General features: G+C 34.2%; 1 protein-coding gene across 10 annotated transcripts in view, besides 1 other annotated feature; it reads right to left on the bottom strand.

The window, feature by feature from the left end:
* The window catches only part of LOC124903233 (uncharacterized), a 46,627-nt gene that overhangs the window by 22,243 nt on the left and 4,218 nt on the right, over positions 1 to 20,166 (bottom strand). For 6 of the 10 annotated variants that reach the window (XR_007063910.1, XR_007063912.1, XR_007063913.1 and 3 more), the window contains exon 3: positions 12,084 to 12,176. The exons of the other annotated variants lie outside the window; for them this stretch is intronic. Coding sequence is in view for 2 of the 6 variants with exons in the window: in XM_047430847.1 (XP_047286803.1) it covers positions 12,084 to 12,176 (93 nt within the window). In the remaining 4 variants the exon portion in view is untranslated. The remainder of the gene's footprint in view (positions 1 to 12,083; positions 12,177 to 20,166) is intronic. 10 annotated transcript variants of the gene reach the window in all.
* Positions 17,827 to 18,690: an enhancer, noted in NCBI's record as "OCT4-NANOG hESC enhancer chr13:55519922-55520785 (GRCh37/hg19 assembly coordinates)". NCBI's record gives its function as "activates a minimal SCP1, AML or CMV promoter by ChIP-STARR-seq in naive H9 embryonic stem cells {active_cell/tissue: H9 hESC(naive)}" and the evidence as "EXISTENCE:reporter gene assay evidence [ECO:0000049][PMID:30033119]".

The raw sequence follows: 20,166 nt of genomic DNA, 5'->3' as shown, positions 1-20,166 counted from the left end.
AATTACCGTTTTCCTGGCATTTTGATATATATTATCTCATGCTTTTTATATATCTGTCTCTAAATATCTTTTGATATAAAAAGCAACAAATATGCAAATAAATTTGTGTTATAAAAGTATGTTATTGCTGTGCCTGATTTTGGCCAAACGCCTGAGAAGCAATGTGTGAATTATTTCTGTATTTTGAAACAATGTTTACTTTTTAATATGTTGCAAACATTTATTATGTCAAAGATATTCTCATATAAAATGAAGTTTATTGACTCTATGGTAGTATATATTATTGCATAACACATAACTTTAACCAGTATCCTCTTAAAGATTTATTTATTTATATTTTCCCCATGTCAACATAAGAAAAATTTGCTCACAAAAATATTTTAAATATACTAATTAAAAACTATAATAAACTTTCTGTGCATATATTTGACTATGTCTTTGAAATAAATACTTAGAAATGAAACCATTGAATCCAAATATATTAACAACATTAAAAATTTAAAACAGGCTTTCTCTTATACAACAAATTATCACAATAAAGTGAACATAAAATTGATTAATATACTATGCATCTTGCACAATTTTTAATGGCATAAATATGGCTTAGATTTAGTAACCATCAGTAACTAATGCTTTTAAAAACTATTGCTTGAACAAGAGATATTGTAGATGATAATCATGTGGAATAAAGGCTATTAAAATGTTAAATATGGCTTAGATTTAGTAACCATCAGTAACTAATGCTTTTAAAAACTATTGCTTGAACAAGAGATATTGTAGATTATAATCATGTGGAATAAAGGCTATTAAAATGTTAAGAATGGATATTACCTGCCCTTCCAATATTAATGCCAGTGGTAATAGGAAAAAACAGTTTTGGATAAAAAGCATAATATTATTAAACTCTGGCTTTGCTCAGTGATGCTTAGACTTATAGCAAGAAATACAAAGTGTAACACTACATTTATTGTTGAAATTCCTGGAAGAAAAATAACTGCTATATTTTATTATAAAAGTAATAGTTTCACTTGGGAGAAAATGGTTAGAAACTAAAAAGTCCTAAACTTTCTCATTGATAACCATTTTTACTCATTTGCTGTTTTGCATCAGAGTTTCTTCTTTTTTTCTTTTTATTTTTTTTTGACACGGAGTCTCGCTCTGTTGCCCAGGCTGGAGTGCAGTGGCACAGTCTCGGCTCACTGCAAGCTCTGCTCCTGGGTTCAGGCCATCCTCCTGCCTCAGCCTCCGGAGTAGCTGGGACTACAGACGCCTGCAACCACGCCCGGCTAATTTTTTATATTTTTAGTAGAGACAGGGTTTCACCGTGTTAGCCAGGATGGTCTCGATCTCCTGACCTCGTGATCTGCGTGCCTCGGCCTCCCAAAGTGCTGGGATTATACACGTGAGCCACTGCGCCCGGCTGCATCAGAGTTTTTTCTAATAATTTTTGTTTGTTTGTTTGTTTGTTTTTTGAGACGGAGTCTCACTCTGTCGCCCAGGCTGGAGTGCAGTGGCAAGATCTCGGCTCACTGCAACCTCTTCCTCCTGGGTTCAAGCAATTCTCCTGTCTCAGCCTCCCGAGTAGCTGGGACTACAGGCACCAGCCACCATGCCTGGCTAATTTTTGTATTTTTAGTACAGACCTGGTTTCACTGTATTGGTCAGGCTGGTCTTGAACTCCTGACCTCAGGTTATTTGCCTGCCTTGGCCTTCCAAAGTGCTAAGATTACGGGTGTGATCCACTGCGCCTGGCCATACTTTTTAAAAAATATAGCTTGTATTATAAAAGAGAACTGTACTTATTCCCAAAATAATTTTATAAATAGAGCAAAATTATACTCTTGTTAGCAATGTTGAGATGATTCATTTATCTGCTTTTTTGCTTATTTGAATATCATTTTGTGAATATTAAATGTTGAAAATTTCAATGAGCTGAATTGCATTTCTTTAATTACTAAAGTCTTTTTTCCATATATGTATTAGTCACTGTCATCTGTGCTTTTGTAAATAAATTATTCTATTCATAAAATTTATCAATTTTTCTGTTTAGTTGTTGCTATTCTAAATGGATCATTTTATCTGCATTTATTATTTAGGCAGGAGAAAAAAATAAGAAAAAGCAGGTAACTATATATTATTAGTAAATATGGAAGCACTTAATGTAAACAGTGTAGACAAAAACAATTTTACAAGTTATGTTTTTGACTAAGTTATGATTTGTTAGATAATAAACATATACTCTCTTGGAAAAAATGAAGTAATAATAATGTTTGTGGATATTTGTTTTTACCAGATGTTCAGACATGATTAAAAATATATACTCTAGAAGTGATTTCAGCAAGATGTCAGGATAGGAAGCTCTGAACTCTTCTTCCCTGACAGACACACTGACTCAACAGCAGTACATTAATCAATTATTTTTATGAGAAAGTTAGAAACAAGCTTGGAGACTCCTGTACCCTAGGCAAGTGAGAAACCAGCCACTTCACAACTGGTAGAAGCAGTGGAGATACCTCTTGCCATAATACCCATACCCAGCACAAATCCATATGATCAAGATGGAAGCCCTGCTCCCAGCTTCTTCTTGAGAAGCAAAGGGGTTGGAATGCACATTTGGTATCCCAAATTTTCGGCATGTTACCTGAGAGACTGTCTTCAATCTTGCTGGTCCCAGAGAGCTAACAGTATTTGGCATATGGTATCTGCTGATGGCTATGGAGAACAAAATGTTGTCTTGAAATAGTGAGTAGGCACTCAGTATAGCTCTACCCCTTGGCTAAACACAGAACTAGTGTGCAAATAACTCCAGTTACCAGTTTCTCTCTGGAGAGGAAAAGAGTCAAACCATACAGTGTTCCAACTTTGCTGGTAGCTCCTTAAGGAATTAACTTCTGCCCCACCTGTCTTGCCATGCTAACAGGATCTGGCATACTTTAGATGCTTGAGGGCTGCTAGCAATAAAGACAATGGTTCAAACTACCACAAAGATTTGAGCGGTCAGGAAGATTGGTGAAGGTCTTGGCCTATAATAGGCCAATACACAAATACTGGGAGACGTGGCAGGTTTTTTGTTTGTTTGTTTGTTTGTTTGTTTTAAATGTAGGTACCAACACAAAGAGGAAAACATGAAGAATGAGAGAAATAAGATCCAAAGGGACAAGATAAATCTCCAGAAATTGATTCTTATGAAATGGATGTATATTAAGTATCTGACAGATAATTCAAAATAACCATCATAAAAATGCTCAACCAGCTCAGGAAAATAATGCACAAATAAAGTAAGAATTCTTTCAAAGAAATAGAAAATGTAAAAAGAAACCAAATGTAAAAAGAAACCAACAGAAATCTTAGAGCTAAAGAATACAATACTCAACTAAAAAAATTCAATAGAGGATTTAACAGCAAACTACAGCAAGCAGAAATAAAAGACTAAGTGAACTTAAAGATAGGTCATATGATATTGTACAGACAGAAGAGCAAAAACAGAGAAGAATGAAAAAGAATAAAAATAGCTTAAAAGAGTTATGGGACACTCTCAAGCAGACCAATATATGCATATGGAAATACCAGCAGGAGAAGAGAGATAAGCACCAGAAAGCTTACTAAAAGAAATAACAGCTGAAAACTTTGTAAATCTGTGTAGGAGATGGACATTCAGCCTTAAGAATCCTAAAGGATTCCAAGTAAAATAAACCCAAGGAAATTTACACCTTAGGTTCACACACCAAGACACATTGTAATCAAATTGTGAAAAACAAAGAGAGAATTTTTAAAGCAGCATGAGAAAAGTGACTTGTGATGTATAAGGGAACCTTGATAATACCATCATGAAATTTTTCTGCAGAAACCTTGCAGTCCAGAAGGGATTAGAATGTCGTACGTCAAATTGCTGAAAGAAAAAAAAAATTGTCAATGAGGAATTCTATAACTAGTAAAAAATATCCTTCAAAAATTAAAGAAAACAAAGACTTTCCCAGCCCCTATCCCCAAAAATTGAGCAAGTTCATCACTACTAGACCTTCATTAAAAGAAATATTAAAGGGGAATTCTCATCTTGAAAAGAAAAGATGCTAATCAGCAACAGAAGCGCATAAAAACATATAAAGCTTGCTGGTAAAGGTAAATATATTGACATACAGAATACTCCATTACCGTCACAATGAAGTACATATTATTTTTTAATTCTAGTATAAAAGTTACAAGGAAAAATTATTACAACTAAGTATAAATGAAAATATGTTAACAGATAAGCAATATAAAGAGCTTAAATTGTCACATGAATAACAAATTATGTATGGGGAGGAAGAAGTTAAAGTGTATAGTATTTGTATATGACTAAGTCAAGCCATTTCAGTTTAAAATAGACTGCTATAATGTGTTTTACATTAGCTACATGGTAGCCTCATGAAAATACCTGTGTAAATGTTACCCAAAAGATAAGGTGAAAGGAATACAAAAATATGTAAACAAAAAACAATCACAAGGGAAGACAGCAAGAGAGGACAAGAGGAACAAAAGAACTATGAGACAAACAGAAAACAAAAAAGCAATAATAAATCCTTCCCTTTAAATAATTACCTTCAACATAGATATATTAAACTCCTTCCATCAAAAGACATAGAGTAGCTTAATGGAAGGAAAAAAAGGAATATCCAACTTTCTCCTCTCTGTAACAGATTTACTTTAGATCTAAAAATCACACAGGCTGAAAGTGATGAGGTGAGAACGGATAATTCTTGCTAACTGTAACCAAGAGATAATAGTAGTGGCTATACTTATATCAGACAAAATATAGTTTAAGTAAAAAAAAAAAAAATTAGGCGACATTATATAATAAAAGGGTCACTCCTTGAGAAAGATGTTAACAGTTGCAAACGTATATGCAACCAATATCAAAGCACCTAAACATAAAGCAAACAGTGACAGTACTGAAGGGAAGAATTGAACAACAATACAATGATACTAAGAGACTTCACTACCCATTTTCAATAAGAATAGAACAACTAGGCAGAAAGTCAACAAAGAAATGCAGCTTTTAACTACACCGCAGACCAAATGGACCTAACAGACATATACAGAACATTCTACCCAGCAAGAGCAGAATGCACGTTTCTCTAGTGCAAAAAGAACATTATTCAGGGCTGGGCATGGTGGCTCACTCCTGTAATCCCAGCATTCTGGGAGGCCGAGGTTGGAGGATCACTTGAGGTCAGGAGTTGGAGACCAGCCTGGCTAACATGGCGGAACCCTGTCTCTAAAAAAATACAAAAATTAGCGGGTTGGTGGTCCGCTCCTGTAATCCCAGCTACTCCGGAGGCTGAGGCACGAGAATCGCTCAACCTGGGAGGTGTAGGCTGCAGTAAGCCGAGATGGTGCCACTGCCCTCCAGCTGAAAAAGGAAAGTTCCCATATCCCCCTCATAGGAGGTGCGACAGGGGTGTGGCTTACTCCCTTGGTCTCCCTGCTGCTCAAAGCACTAGGGGGAGCATAGACACGGCAGGCGCAGGCCCCTGGGCAGCATCTACGGGTGAGTGTCTGTGACTCCTGAAGTCCTAGTGGGCGTGTGTTACAATGTGTCCTTTTCGCTTTGCTGTCTGCAAATGGCTTGTATTAATCAGCTCAACAGACCCTCTGCGTTATAGCAAGGGCAGAGGGCCAGTGTGACAGCTTTCTGTACCCCGAGGTCTTGCCCAGGGTGCCAGGAAAACAGGATTACATGTGGGCTTGTAGGATGGGTGCAAGGCTTTATTGAGTGGTAGAGGTTGCTCTCAGCAAGATGGATGGGGTGCTGGAAGGCGGGAACGGAGTGGAAGGTGATCTTCCCCTGGAGTCCGGCTGTTCTCAGCTGAAGTTCAGAGGCCTCTTCCCTCCTTTTGTGCCATGCGGCCCTGCTGCTCTCTGCATCTCTGTTCCTCTACTCCTCTGGATGTTCAGCCGCTTGTGTCTATGCCCGCTAAGGTCTCAGGTTTATATAGACACAGGATGGGGGGCGTGGCGGGCCAGAGTGGTCTTGGAAAATGAAACATTTGGGCTTGAAAACATTAGTACTTGTTTTTCACTTAGGTCCGTGGGCACAAGCCCAGGGTGGAGCCTTCGCCAGAGACCCCGCCCTTCTCTACCCAGCACTTCTCTGCCCTGCTTCGGTATTACAGCCATCACACCCTGGCAACAAAGGGAGACTTTGTCTCCAAAAAAAAATAAATAAATAAAAAATAAAAAATTCTTGGGATAGATCACGTTACATTACAAAACAAGTCCTAACAAACTTAGGGAAATTTAAATCATAAGAAGTATCTTTTCTGGTCACAATAAAATGAAACTGGAAATTAATAAAAGAAGGAAACTGAAAAATTTACAAATATAAAAAGCAACACTTTTAAACAACCAACAGATCAAAGGAAAAATCTAAAGAGAAATTAGAAAAAACTTGCAACAAACAAAAATGCAAACACATCATTCTTAACTTATGGGATGCGACAAAAGTATCACTAAGAGGGAAGCTTACAGCAATAAACACCTACATTAAAAAAGAGGAAAGATCTCAAACAACTTAACTTTATATCTCAAGGAACTGGAAAAGGAAAAACAAATAAAACTCAATTTATCATAAAGAAGAAATAATAAAGAATAAAGCAGAAATGAATGAATTAGAGAATAGAGAAAGCAATACAAAAAAGAAAACCAACAAAACTAAGAGTTGGTTTTTCAAAAAGATAAACAAAATTGACAAACCTTTAACTAGACTAAAAAAAGATGATAAATCTCAAAAAATAAATTCAGAAATTAAAGAGGCGATAATATGACTGTTGCCACAGTAATACAAAGGATAACAACAAATACATATGAATGATTATACTCAAAGAAACTCAATAACCTAGAAAAAATGGAAAACTTCCTAGAAACATACAACCCACCAAAACTGAGTCACTAAAATACAGAAAATCTGAACAGACCAATAAGTAAGCAAGTTAAATCAGTAATCAAAAACCTTCTAACAAAGAAAAGTTCAGGACCAGACAGCTTAACTAGCAAATTCTATCAAACATTTAAAGAATAATTAATGCCACTTTTTCTCAAACTCTTCTGAAATTTGAAGAGGAGAGAACAAAACTAAAACCATTTAATGAGGCCAGCATTACACTGATATAAAAGCCAAACAAAACACTATAAGAAATCTTTAGGCCAATATCCCAGATGAACATAAATCCAAATATCCTCAACAAAACACTAGCAAATCAAATTTAGCAGCACATTGAAAGGATCATACACCATGACCACATGGGATTTATCCATAGGATGTAAGGTTGAGCAGACATATGAAAATCAATTAATTTGTTATATCACAAAGCAAAATGAAGACTAAAATCACACACTTACCCAAATAGATCCAGAAAAACCATTTGATAAAATTCAACACCATTTTATGATAACAACTCTCAACAAACTAGGAATAAAAGTAAATTACTGAATATTAGGCCATATATGACAAGCCCAGAGCTAACACCATGTTCAGTGTTAAAAAACTGAATGCGTTTCTACTAAGATCAAGATCGACAGAAGGATGCTCTTGTCACTTAAAAATTATTCCTGTTTGCAGGTTCTATATACAGAAAATCCTAAAGACTACCAAAAATCCGTGAGAACTAATGAATAATCTTGGTAGGGTTTTAGGATACAAAATCAACATCCCAAAATTAGTGGTGTTTCTATATACAAGTATCTATCTGAAAAGGAAATTAGGAAAATACTCCTTTTACAATAGCATCAAAGTAAAAAAAAAAATAGAATAAACAAAGAAAGTGAAAGACTGATACATTTAAAACTATTAAAAAAAGGTGAAAGAAATGAAAGAAGACATTTTAAAAAATGGGAAAACATTCCATGTTCATGTACTAGAAGTTGTGATATTGTGAAAATGTCCATACTACCCAAAGCAATCTACAGGTTCAATGCAATCTCTGTCAAAATTTCAATGTCATTTTTATAGAAATAGAAAATTCTAAAATTTTTATAAAACCACAAAAGATCTCAAATAGCCAAATAATTTTGATAAAGAACAAAGCTGAAGGCATCACACTTTCTGATGTCAAAATATATTCAAAGGATATAGTAACTAATAGTATGATGCTGGCATACAAACATATAGACCAATGAAACAGAACAGAGAGCCCATAAATAAGTCCATGCATATACAGCCACTTATCTTTGACAAGGGTGCCAAGAATACACAACGGGGAAAGTATAGTCTGTTATTAAAAATGATGCAGGGAAAACTGGATATCCACACACATGCAAAAAAAAAATGCAATCAGACTTTTTTGTTACACGATATACAAAAATCAACCAAAAACAGATTAAAGACTTAAACGTTGGACCTGAAATTGTAAAACTTTTATGAGAAAATATAGTAGAAAATTTTCACTATATTGACCTTTGCAATGATTTCATGAATATGACACCAAAACTACAAGCAACAAAAACAAATACAGAACAAGAGAAACTAAATCAAATTTAAAAGCTTCTCCTCAGCAAAGTAAACCATCACTAGAGTGGAAAGACACCCTGCTAAATGGTGGAAAATATTTGCAAGCCATATATCTAATGAGGTGTTGAAGTCCAAAATTATTTAAAGAACTCCTATAACTCAACAGCAAAAATACTGATAACCCAATTTTACGAATGGGCTAAGTGCTTGAGTAGACATTTCTCCAACAAAAATACAAAAACTCCACAGTTATATAAAAAGATACTCGACAGCACCTGCTTCATGGAAATGCAAATCAAAATTACAATGAGATATCACTACATACCTGTTAGAATGGCTATCATCAAGAATACAAAAAATAAGTATTGGCACACCTGTAGAGAACTTAAAACCCTTGTTCATTGTGTTGGGAATGAAAGATGGTGCGGTCACTATGGAAAACAATATGAAGGTTCTTCAAAAAACTAAAAATATGACTATGCTATTATCTAGCAAGTAAATTTCTGAATGTTTACCTCAAACAATTTGAAATCAGGATCTCAAAGAGATATTAGCACTGTCATATTTATTGAAGCATTATTTACAATAATCAAGATGAGAAAACAACCTAAAAGTCCTCTGAAAGAGAAGTGGATTTTTAAAAATGTGATGTATACATACAATGAAACATTATTCAGCCTTAAAAAAATGAAATCCTACAATATGTGACAACACGAATGAAACTTGAGGACATTAGCTGAGTGAAATAAACTACACGAAAGGACAAATACAAATACGGCATGATTCCACTTATATGAGGCCTCTAACACAGTGGAAGCTCACAGAAGGAAAGCTTAGAATGGCAGTTGTCAGGGACTGAGGGAAAAGAAAATGAGTTGTTCAATGAATATAAAGTTTAAAGTTCCAGCCACGCAAGATAAGTAAGTTCTAGAGACCACATGTGTAACATAGTGCCTATAGTTATCCATGCAGTAATGTGCCCTTAAAATTTTTTTAGAAGGGTAGTTCTCGTGTTAAATGGTCTTACAATAATAATAATAATAATAATATACTCTAACAATTACAATGACATTGAGCAAAATTTATCTTTTCTATGAGCTTTATTATTATAGGTTAGTTAAGACTTTAGCTCATTTTTTGCATCTTTTTTTGCAAAAGAAACAGAAAAAAATATTGTTTTCAATAGTCACTCCATTCTAATGGTTTTACAATATCAATGACCACAGCTATTGTTTCATATTGCTATATAATAACAAAAATATAATTATAAATTGATTCATTGTTAATTAATGTAAAATTTTCCCCATTTTTCAGTAGCAAATCTAATTTTCAATTACTAATATTCTTGGGTCTCCACAATAACTTTCCAATGTGTCAGAGTTGCTAAATTTCTCATTGTAGTAAGTGTAGCATATATATTTATCATCACCTGAAATAACATGAATTTCTATCAAACGCAATACTGAACCATAGGGTGAAACCTAGTAGTTGTAATGTGTTTAAAAAGACTATATATATATATATATATATATATATATATATATATATATATGCAGTCAAAACAGTAACAAGTTTCAGTAGGACATTTGCCTAGAGTGACAAAACACAATGGGGATAATTAATCTTTCATAATAAAATGAAGAAAACATCCTAAGAAATGCACATATGTTTTGGAGATTCATAGAGAGACCCATAATTGTGTCCTAGCTGAAAGTATGGTCCTATTTTTCTGGATGATTACTTATGGTCAATCCTTTTCACATTTTGTTTGTATTTCAATAACAAAGACTTAAAATAAATGTAAAGAAAGATTTAAAGAAAAATGAGTTCTAAAAGACTGTGTTAGAAGGAGAAAAGCAACCTTCTTTTTCCAGTGTGAGATCTTAGGAAGATCAAAGGCTTATGTTAACATTTATGTACCACTTTGGCATAACTATTCTGACTCATTTCCAACTAGTTTCTCAAAAGAGCCTGGTTAGAATGCTAGGTGTGAAACTGTGACTCAATAGCAATAGAACAAGCTGAGGCTAGCCAGGTTCTTTAATTAAGGCATATAAATAACGAAACATGAAACAAAGAAAGAGAACAAAACCAAAACTCACAAAAATCATGTCCTGAAAAGCATATATATATATACAAAACTGGTTTCTGAAGGATATAGCATGGTTAAAGATCTTCTTTTGAAGTATTGTTCATCTCTAGCTTCACAACTGAGTTCGCATAATCTCCATTTCTATTTGCTCAATTCTTCACATTCTTCTGCCTTAAGATAAATCTCTTTTTGATTCCTGTACAACTCTAATTTGACTGGAATTTTTTGGCACTGCCAATGAGACTACTCTGAAAATAAATTTTATTGAGGTATAATTAGCAAAATTTCTTATTACCTCCGTTGTAATTCTTTCCAATTCTCCTTAGAATTCTTCTAAACCCACCTTAAGGAACCCACTTATCTACTTTTTGTCACTATAGATTAGTTGGCATTTTGTATAATTTTATATAAATGGAATAATATATCAAATCTTTTGTTTGTTTAGCTTATTTCCCTCAGCATTATTTATTTAGATTCATCCATACTGCAGTGTGTATGTATATTCTTTTGTATTGCAGAGTAGTATCCCATTGTATAGATGTAACAGTCTGTTCATACCTGTACCTATTGGTAGACATTGTATTTATTTCCAGTTTGGAGCTATTACAAAGAAACTTGTTGTAAACCTTAATGCACAAATCTTTGTATGGATATATGGACTATGGAATGATTGGATCATACAGTCGTATGTAAACTTTTTAAGCATTTGCAAAACTGCTTTTCAACTGATTGTGTTATTTTAAATTCCCGTCAGCAGTTTATGAGAATCCTGAATTCTTCATATCTTTTTCAGCACATTTTGTAGGGTTTTTTTTTTTTCTTTGAGACAGGGTCTCACTCTACAGCACAGGCTGGAGTGCAGCAGCACAATCTTGTCTCACTGTAGCCCCAACCTCCCGGGCACAAGCAATCCTCCCACCTCAGCCTCCCTCCCAAGTATCTGGGACTATGGGACTACAGGCGAGCACCACACCCAGCGAATTTTTATATTTTTTGGAGAGACGGGGTTTCACCATGTTGCCCAGACTGGTCTCAAATTCCTAGGCTCAAGCCATCCACCCAGCTCAGCCTCCCAAAGTGCTGGGATTACAGGCTTGCACCACTGCATCTAGCCTGTGTAGTATTTTTAATTGTAGCCATTCTAATAGTTGTGTATTGGAATTTTGTTGTAGATTTTATTAGTATAGTCATAACCACTAGTGATGTTAAATTCTATTTCCTGTGCTTATTTGCCATCTGTATACAGCTGAACCTAGAACAATGCAGGGGTTGCAGCGCTGACCCCTGCACAGTCAAAAATTCACTTATTACTTTTGATTGATCAAACTTAACTATTAATAGCCTATGTTGACCAGAAGCCTTACCAATAGCATCAACAGTCAATATACACATATTTTTATGTTACATGAATATATACTGTAAATTTACTTATTTTATTATTAATACAATAAAGATAGAGAAAATAATGTTCTTAAGAAAACCATAAGAAAGATAAAATATACTTACTATTCAATAAGTGGAAGTGGAGCATCATAAAGGTGTTCATCCTCATTGTCTTCACATTGAGTAGGCAGAGGAGGAGGAAGAGTGTTGGTCTTGCTATATCAGGAGTGGCAGAGAAGAAAGAAGTAGAGGAGATAGATGGGGAATCAGGAGACACAGGAATACTCAATGTAACTCTTATTGAAAAGAATCCATGTGTAAGTGGTCCCATGCAGTTCAAACCTGTATTGTTCAAGGATCTACTGTACCATCTTTGATGAAGAAGTTCATTTTATCAATTCATTTTTTTCAGCATCATCCTTTCACTGCAGTATCTAAGAAATCTTTGTATAATTTGAGTCACAAAGGTTTTTTTCCTATCTTATAGAAAATTAAATTTTACACTTTACATTTAAGTCTATGATCCATTTTGTGTCCATTTTTATACAGTGTGAAGCATGTATTTAAGCTTAAATTTTGCATAAGCATATCTAGTTGTTCCCCAATTGTTTATTGAAAAGTTAGTTGTTTTTATATATGTAGGTCATTTTTGTACTCTTCATTTTATTTCAATTATCTATTCATTTAACACAGATGCCATTTTGTCTTTATTACTCTTATTTAAAAATAATTTATAAAATATGTAGGTAATTACATAAATGTATTGGGTTTTCTTAAAGTTTTTTTCTTTAATCTATGCTATGACTTTCACATTTTCATTGAGTTTTAGAATTAATTTATCAATTTCTACCGAACAAAAAAGACAAGCAAAACGACAAAAAAAAAAAAAAAAAAACAAAAACCTCCTGAGGTGTTTGCTTGGTGTTATCTTTAATCTCTACATCAATTTAGGAAGACTTAGCATTTTTATAGTAATTGGTTTTCTAATTTATGAATACGGTATAACTCTCCATTATTTGGTTCATCTTTAATTTATCTTAGCAGTGTTTCCTGGTTTTGATTGTAAAGGTCTTGTACATATGTTGTCACTTCCTCTTAAGTGATTTTATATTTTGACACTATCTAAATGGTATTAAAATTTTAATTTCTAATTGCTTGTTGCTAGAATATAAGCATGACTATTTTACATTGATTTTGGATGTAGTTTACTTGCTAAACTCACTTATGATTTCTAGAAATATAAGGGAGCTTCCTTAATCTGATAAAAAGACATTGTGTAAAACTTACCTGTAACCTTATCTTTCCCTCTGAGAATGGGAGGGCACAAAAAAAAATAACAAAATAAAATTATCCGTGAATTATACTGATTACTTTTTCAAATGTCAAACATGGGATAAACTACACTTGGACATTTTTTTTCCCCCTATTTTAGACCAGGTCTCACTCTGCTGCCCAGGCTGAAGTATGGTGGCATGATTTTTGCTCACTGCAGCCTCGACCTCCTGGGTTCAGTTGATCCTCTCACCTCAGCCTCCCAAGTAACTGGGACTACAGGCACACACCACCTAATTTTTGTATCTTTTGTAGAGATGGGGTCTCACCATATTGTTTAGACTATATTTGGACATTTTATTAGTTCTTAAGGTGGCTGTGGATAAATTACCATGAACTGGCTAGCTTAAAGCAACAAAAATTTATTCTTTTAAGTTTTGAAGTCCAAAGTCATCAGTTTAATTCAGTCAAAATCAAGCTATTGGCCAAAATGTGCTCCCTCTGGAGGCGCTAGGAAGAATCTATTCCTTTCCTATTCCAGTTTCTGATGAGTGTTGGCATTACTTGTCTTCTGGCTGCATCACTTCAATTCTGGCCTCTGTGGTCATATTACCTTTTCTTCTCTCTATGTCAAATCCTCCTCTACTTTCCTCTTTTAAGGATATTTTGTATTGCCTTTAGAGTCCACCTAGATAACATAAAATGGTCATGCCATCTCAAGATCCTTAAATTAATCACATCTGCAAAGTCTGTTTTACCATATAAATTAATACTTACTAGTTCCAAGAATTAGGGCATGGATATCTTTTGAGAAACCATTATATACCTACCACAGTCTCCCCTGTGAACTCTCAAAATTTATGTCCATGCGAAATGCAAAATGCATTCACCCCAATCCCAACATTGTCATAAGCTCTAACAACTACAGCATCAGCTAAAGTTCAAAATCTTATCTAAATATAATCAATTTTAAACTCTCAAATCTTATTATCTAAATTGTCTAAATTATTATAGGCAAGACTCTAAGTAAAATCCATCCTGCACCAAAATTTCTCTCCATTTGTAGATTTGTGGATCTAGAAAACAATTAGTTGTTTCCAAAATACAATGATGAAGGAAGCATAGAATAACAGTTATTTATGTTCCCATTCCAAAACAATCAAGGAAAAAAGGATGACCAATTCCAAAAAATTTTAAATATCCCGTACATTCCACTAGGATTCCAAGTATAGAAATGATCCTCTGTGCCTAATAGCTCTACCCTCTGCATCCACGGCTTTGGCCTCTGCATCTGGCCTCTGAGTCATTCTTCCTTATTCTTAAAAGGTAGCACGTGTTTACAGATGAGTAGGTTTATCAGCCTGTTTTCTCAACAACTTGGGAGTCTGGTAGCCATAGGAGTCAATAAACTTATTGCCTTGGAACTGGATGTGGCTGACAGTGGCTCCTGAGAGCCGCTTGGCAAATAGGAATTGAGCAAGCCACTAGTTAAATCATTCATTGTTTGAATTGACCATGTCTGGGGCATTTATATCACAAAAAATTAGCAAAGAATTTAAATCAAAACTTTTCCCCCCTTTCCATTAGGGCTGATTTACCAATGTACCACTACATATACTGTGTCTAAGTAATTTTTTCTAATTTTCATCATAGCAAAACTAATTAGATCACATTAGTAAGATTACATATATATATATATGAAGTTTCACAAACTGGTGTACAACTTATGTGGCCTTTATATGAAGAACAAGCCATGAAAGAGACAGTGGCCCTTGAAGTCACTTTCTCTGATTAGCAGACCTAGAAATACACAATTGTGTGCTGCTGTTCTGGTAGTAAGTCCAACAGTGTTTATCGCATGCCATCTACCAGGTAATTTAATATGTGAAAAACAAAACATGTTTATTTCTTAGAGTCTTTTAATGTCATCACTTCAGGTGTTTCTTTGGATAACAAAAACACTCTTTTTAAACTCCATTGCTTATAAATAAACTTAATTAAAATATACAGTGTCATGTCAGATATGTTCAGTAATTAAATCAATCATTTCTTCAGTTACTGACAGAGATTGATAGCATCCTGTCAACATAAAAGGAAATATTAAGTACAAAATATCAAAACTTTCACAAGGAGCAAATATTGCTGATAGAAAAACAATAACTACACATGAAATAATTCAAGAAGAATGTAAAGCATAATATCCAGAAGTGGATAGAAGAAAACCTGAACCAAACCCAACAGCACAGAGGATATTGTGAATTTATACTGATGAGTCCAGCTAGCCATCGCTGTTGAAGAACAGCACTAAATTACACTGCTTGTCCTCAACATTCCTAGAAAGGTCCAAAATAATTGATATCAATCATAAGGGTGTATGTTATATATTTGCCTATCAGCTAGCATCTCATACAAGCCTTATTGAGAAGAATTTATTTTTTCCTGTGGAAGAAAATATTCCAGAAGTTCTTTTATAATTAAAAGATTAACTTTCTAATTTTTAAAGTTATTTTTACATTCTGCTTACTTTTTTTCTATTAGGTAGCAGTTGTAGGTTTTCTTAGTATACAGCATTTTTTCCCTCATGTTTTTTCACAGTAAGCAAGAAGCTAAAATGCCACTTACTTTTCTAGACTTCCATACAATTAGGGATTACTGTGTGACAAAGTTCTGGCCAATGAGACTCTGAAGGAAGTCCACGTTGAGGCTTGGGAAAATATTTGCTTCCTTTTAAATGGACGAAGTGCTGATTTTTTTTCCCTTTCCTCCCGCTCCAAGAGTGATGCGGTTCTTGGACCTTTGGAAGTCATATTGCATTAGTCTGTTTTCACGCTGCTAATAAAGACATACTGAGACTGGGAAATTTAAAAAGAAAAAGAGGTTTAATGGACTCACAGTTCCACATGGCTGGGGAGGCCTCACAATCATGACAGGATGAGAAAGGCCTTCATGGTGAAAGACCACATGGCGGCCGAAAAGAGGGAATAAGAGACAAGCAAAATGCGTTTCCCCTTATAAAACCATCAGATCTCATAGGACTTATTCACTACCACGAGAACAGTATGGGGGAAACTACCCCCATGATTCAATTATCTCCCACCAGGTCCCTCCCCACAACACATGGGAATAATGGGAGCTATAAGTCAAGATGAGATTTGGGTGGGGACAAAGTCAAACCATATCACATGTGATGAAGAATCACAAAACATTCAAGGACAAAAGACCAATATACAAAGAGATAGTAGATGAGAAAAATGGAAAGCTTCTTAATGGTGATATTAGGCTGCTGAACAAGCCCGAGATTGCCTTCATCAAGAATCCTTCTTAAGAAATTCTATGGTTTAAGACACTATTATCTTGGTTCCATGTTCTTCCAACTATATCATTTCTAAAAGAACTATAGTTGGATAAATAGGGAGAATGAGGAAAGACATCTAAAAAGGAAATAAGGAAACAAGGAACAAAGGAAGGAAGGAACCAAGAAAATAAGAAAGTAGGGGAAGGAGAAAGGGAGGGAGGAAGAAAGAAAGAAAGGGAGAAACATATTGGCAGTGTTGATAATATTAACTGCTGATGGAGAATATGGCTAAAAGACAGCGAAGGATCTCCTGCTGCTGCATCATATAAAGTGATTTCATGGCATACTGTAAATTCACTGAACCTGCTACTTCATGTTAACTGACATTTGACCAACTGGAAGTTTCAAAACCCTGGCAGCAAGTTCCAATATCTTCGTATGATTCTGGAGATTTATTATAGTAACTTAATGCTGTGGCTAAATGAATTCTCCATAAATATTCTTTTGACATGGCGATTACCTCCTAATCTCTCACAGAGAAGAGGTCAATGTCAGACAAATCTGAAAGGAAGGATGCTGAGACTTTGCTGTGAGAGAAGCAGTGGTAGGAAGGATCATCATGTCCAGGAGCAAAACCCGCGGGAACGCCTGCAAACCCATGGGCGATAGAGACTGGGTGGACTCCAAAATTGCATGTTTTTGCCAGAAACCCCATAGCCTCCTCCCCACCATGTTATTTCAGCCTAAGTAAAGCAGTAACATCCTTTAATAGAGATTTTTGACCAACTGTGCTTTCCTATTCCCCAACATGCTGGTTACTACTTACTCTCTCATTAAAGTTGTTATCTCATTAAAGACTAGTAATTTGAGAACCAATTTTCATTTTAGGTCACTAATATAACAGTAGTTTGCAAATAGGCAATTTGTTTGCTAATTCTTCTATATACACTTTTTTTCTTGCAATCTGACTATACAAGTTTCATTTTAAATGCTTTGTTATTGGAAAAAAATATATAACTAGATAATGAATATTTTACATCGCTTAAACTTGTATAAGGTATTAGATAATATCAATATCTGTAAAGATAATATCTACAATTTATTCTAGAACATATTACCTTTTTTAAACATTTTTTAGTGTATATTTACAAGGATACATATTTTTAGTGTATTTGTGCCTACAATGTAATTATTTTATGATATTAGCTAGCATTTATTTGGTATTTATGCCAAGCAGGGGTTTAATACAGGTTAGAAGACTCACCTCACTTAATCCTCAAAACAGCCCTATGAGTTTGTTATAATGACTTAAACCATTAAATATGCGAGAAAACTGAGGAAACTGAGTCAGAGATATATTGAATAACATTCTCAAATACTTAGAGATAATAAATTCTAAGACCAGAATTTGACCCCAATGTGTTTGACTTTAAGTGTACTCATATAAAATGATCTATAAATGGAGAATGGCACAACATATAATAGGTAAAATTGACTAAAGAACTCCCAATAAACATTGACATCATTTGCTTTAAATTCTTTCATCCATTAATCCTCTTCTTTCATCCATTAATCCTCACTTAAACAATCTATTTCTAGGTTTACTAACAAATAGCATATTTGTTGTTTAAATTGGAGTTGACTGGATAGCTATGCAGGATCTTTAAATGTCAAATGAGAGTCTATGGAAATAGATTGGGATTCCAATCTCTCTACTAAAGGTCTTCTATGGAGCTGTAAATGAAAAACAGTGTGTGAGAACATTGTTTTAGCACCTGTTTTATTGCCTGCAGTTGATGTAATTAGTGTATTTAAAGACAGCCCTATTGGTTACACCATATGGTTTGCAATCATTAGTGTAATAATAGATGTACCATTTAAGATGAAGCTCCACGACTGAGTGCTATTGTTCCATTATGCTAGCATAATAGGGTGTTTTCAGAGAGTTGACTGAATCCCAATTTTGAATCTCTGACACACTTAGGTTCCCTAGCAGAAGAAATGTTGGGTGATAAAAAGCAAATTTACTATCGTTATTTGATTTAGATATTAGTAAATATTTCTATGCTTTCTTTGGCACAGCTGATCCTAAAATAATATTTTAAATAAACTATTATTAATAATGATAAAGAATCTCATTAACATTTTAAAAAGTAAAGATGTATTATGTTTTGGTATACTAAAAGTGAGTTTCCATTGTAAAAAATGCAATTAGCTTTTCATTCACACTATATTCAGTTGTTATTATAATAAGAAAGATGTAAAATGCATAAGAACATAACACAGGTCCTTATAAACTATAGAAAAAGTGCCTTTAAAACCTTGAAAATATCCTTCGTGTTTACAGTTTGTTCCTCAGTGACAACACTTAGATGTTAATCAGTGATTCTATCTTCTCACTTAGTACAAGCTACAAGAGGTGACAAGCAAAACAAGCATCCCATTGGAGATAATATTGTAAGAAAAATAAGAAGACACTAATTTCCAGTGCTATTAAACAACCCTTACATATGCACATACACACTCATTTGCAGACATACTTGTGTAAAGAACTTACATTTGTGACTGTATATGTTTATAAATAATATAAATTTAAATTTGCATGTATATTTACTATTTATCCATAAAACCAAGATTAATTTCCATGCTGAAAATCTGAGTTTGGAAAAGTTAAAATATATGTAGACACTAAAAAGGAGGACTTCATGACTATATTTTTCTCCAACACGTAAAACATGTTTGTGTAAATTACAATTTTTAGATTAAATTCCCCAATGTCATTGTTCTCTCTTTTTTTATGAGAATCTCTTTAAATTAATGAAGACAGCAACAAAACACTTAGTATTCCATTGTCCTGGGGAAGACCTTAGTCTTCCTATCCAGGAAGATAATATCCTTCCAAAACAAGACCTTAGTATTGCTATCCTTTGCTTTTCACTCCAACTGCTGACCTGTTCTGCTTTGCATTTTCTCATCTATTTTATATTTGCAGAGGACAATACTGTCATAATGCACTTGCCAATAAAGGTAGCTTGATTTACCACCCATGAGGCAACACTCCTTTGCTCTGACTTGTGTGATCCCTACACCCCTTACACTTGCTATTGTTTTGCTCTTGACTATGCCCTTGTCATTTGTCTTTAGTCAACCCTTCAACCACTATTAGGCCTTCTTTTTAAGTACATACATTTTTTTCACTTTTCCATTCAACTACTATGTTACTGGTTTATGTATTTACTATACTATACTTTTACTGATATTTCAGAGTATACTCTTTCTGCTTATTTTTTAAAATTTAAGTGTAAAACAGCCTCAGGCAGATCCTTCAGTAGGTATTCCAGAAGAATGTGCTACTATCATAGGATATGACAGCTCTATGCTTGTTATTGCCTCTGAAAGCCCTCCAGTGAGATAAGACGTGGAGGTGGAAGGCAGTGATATCGATCTTGATCCTGTGTAGGTCCAGGCTATGGTGTGTGTTTGGGTCTTGGTTTTTAACATAAAAAGTTTAAAAAGTTACAAAAAAATTACAAATAAGAAAAATCTTATAGAAAAAGAATATAAAGAAAATATTTTTGTATAATGGTATAATGTGTTTGTGTTTTAAGCTAAGTATTATAAGAAGAGTCAAAAAGAAAG

The sequence above is a fragment of the Homo sapiens genome, chromosome 13, assembly GCF_000001405.40.
Source record: "Homo sapiens chromosome 13, GRCh38.p14 Primary Assembly".
NCBI lineage: Eukaryota > Metazoa > Chordata > Mammalia > Primates > Hominidae > Homo > Homo sapiens.
Note: the sequence above shows the minus strand (reverse complement) of the source record. Positions and strands in the feature narration are given on the sequence as shown.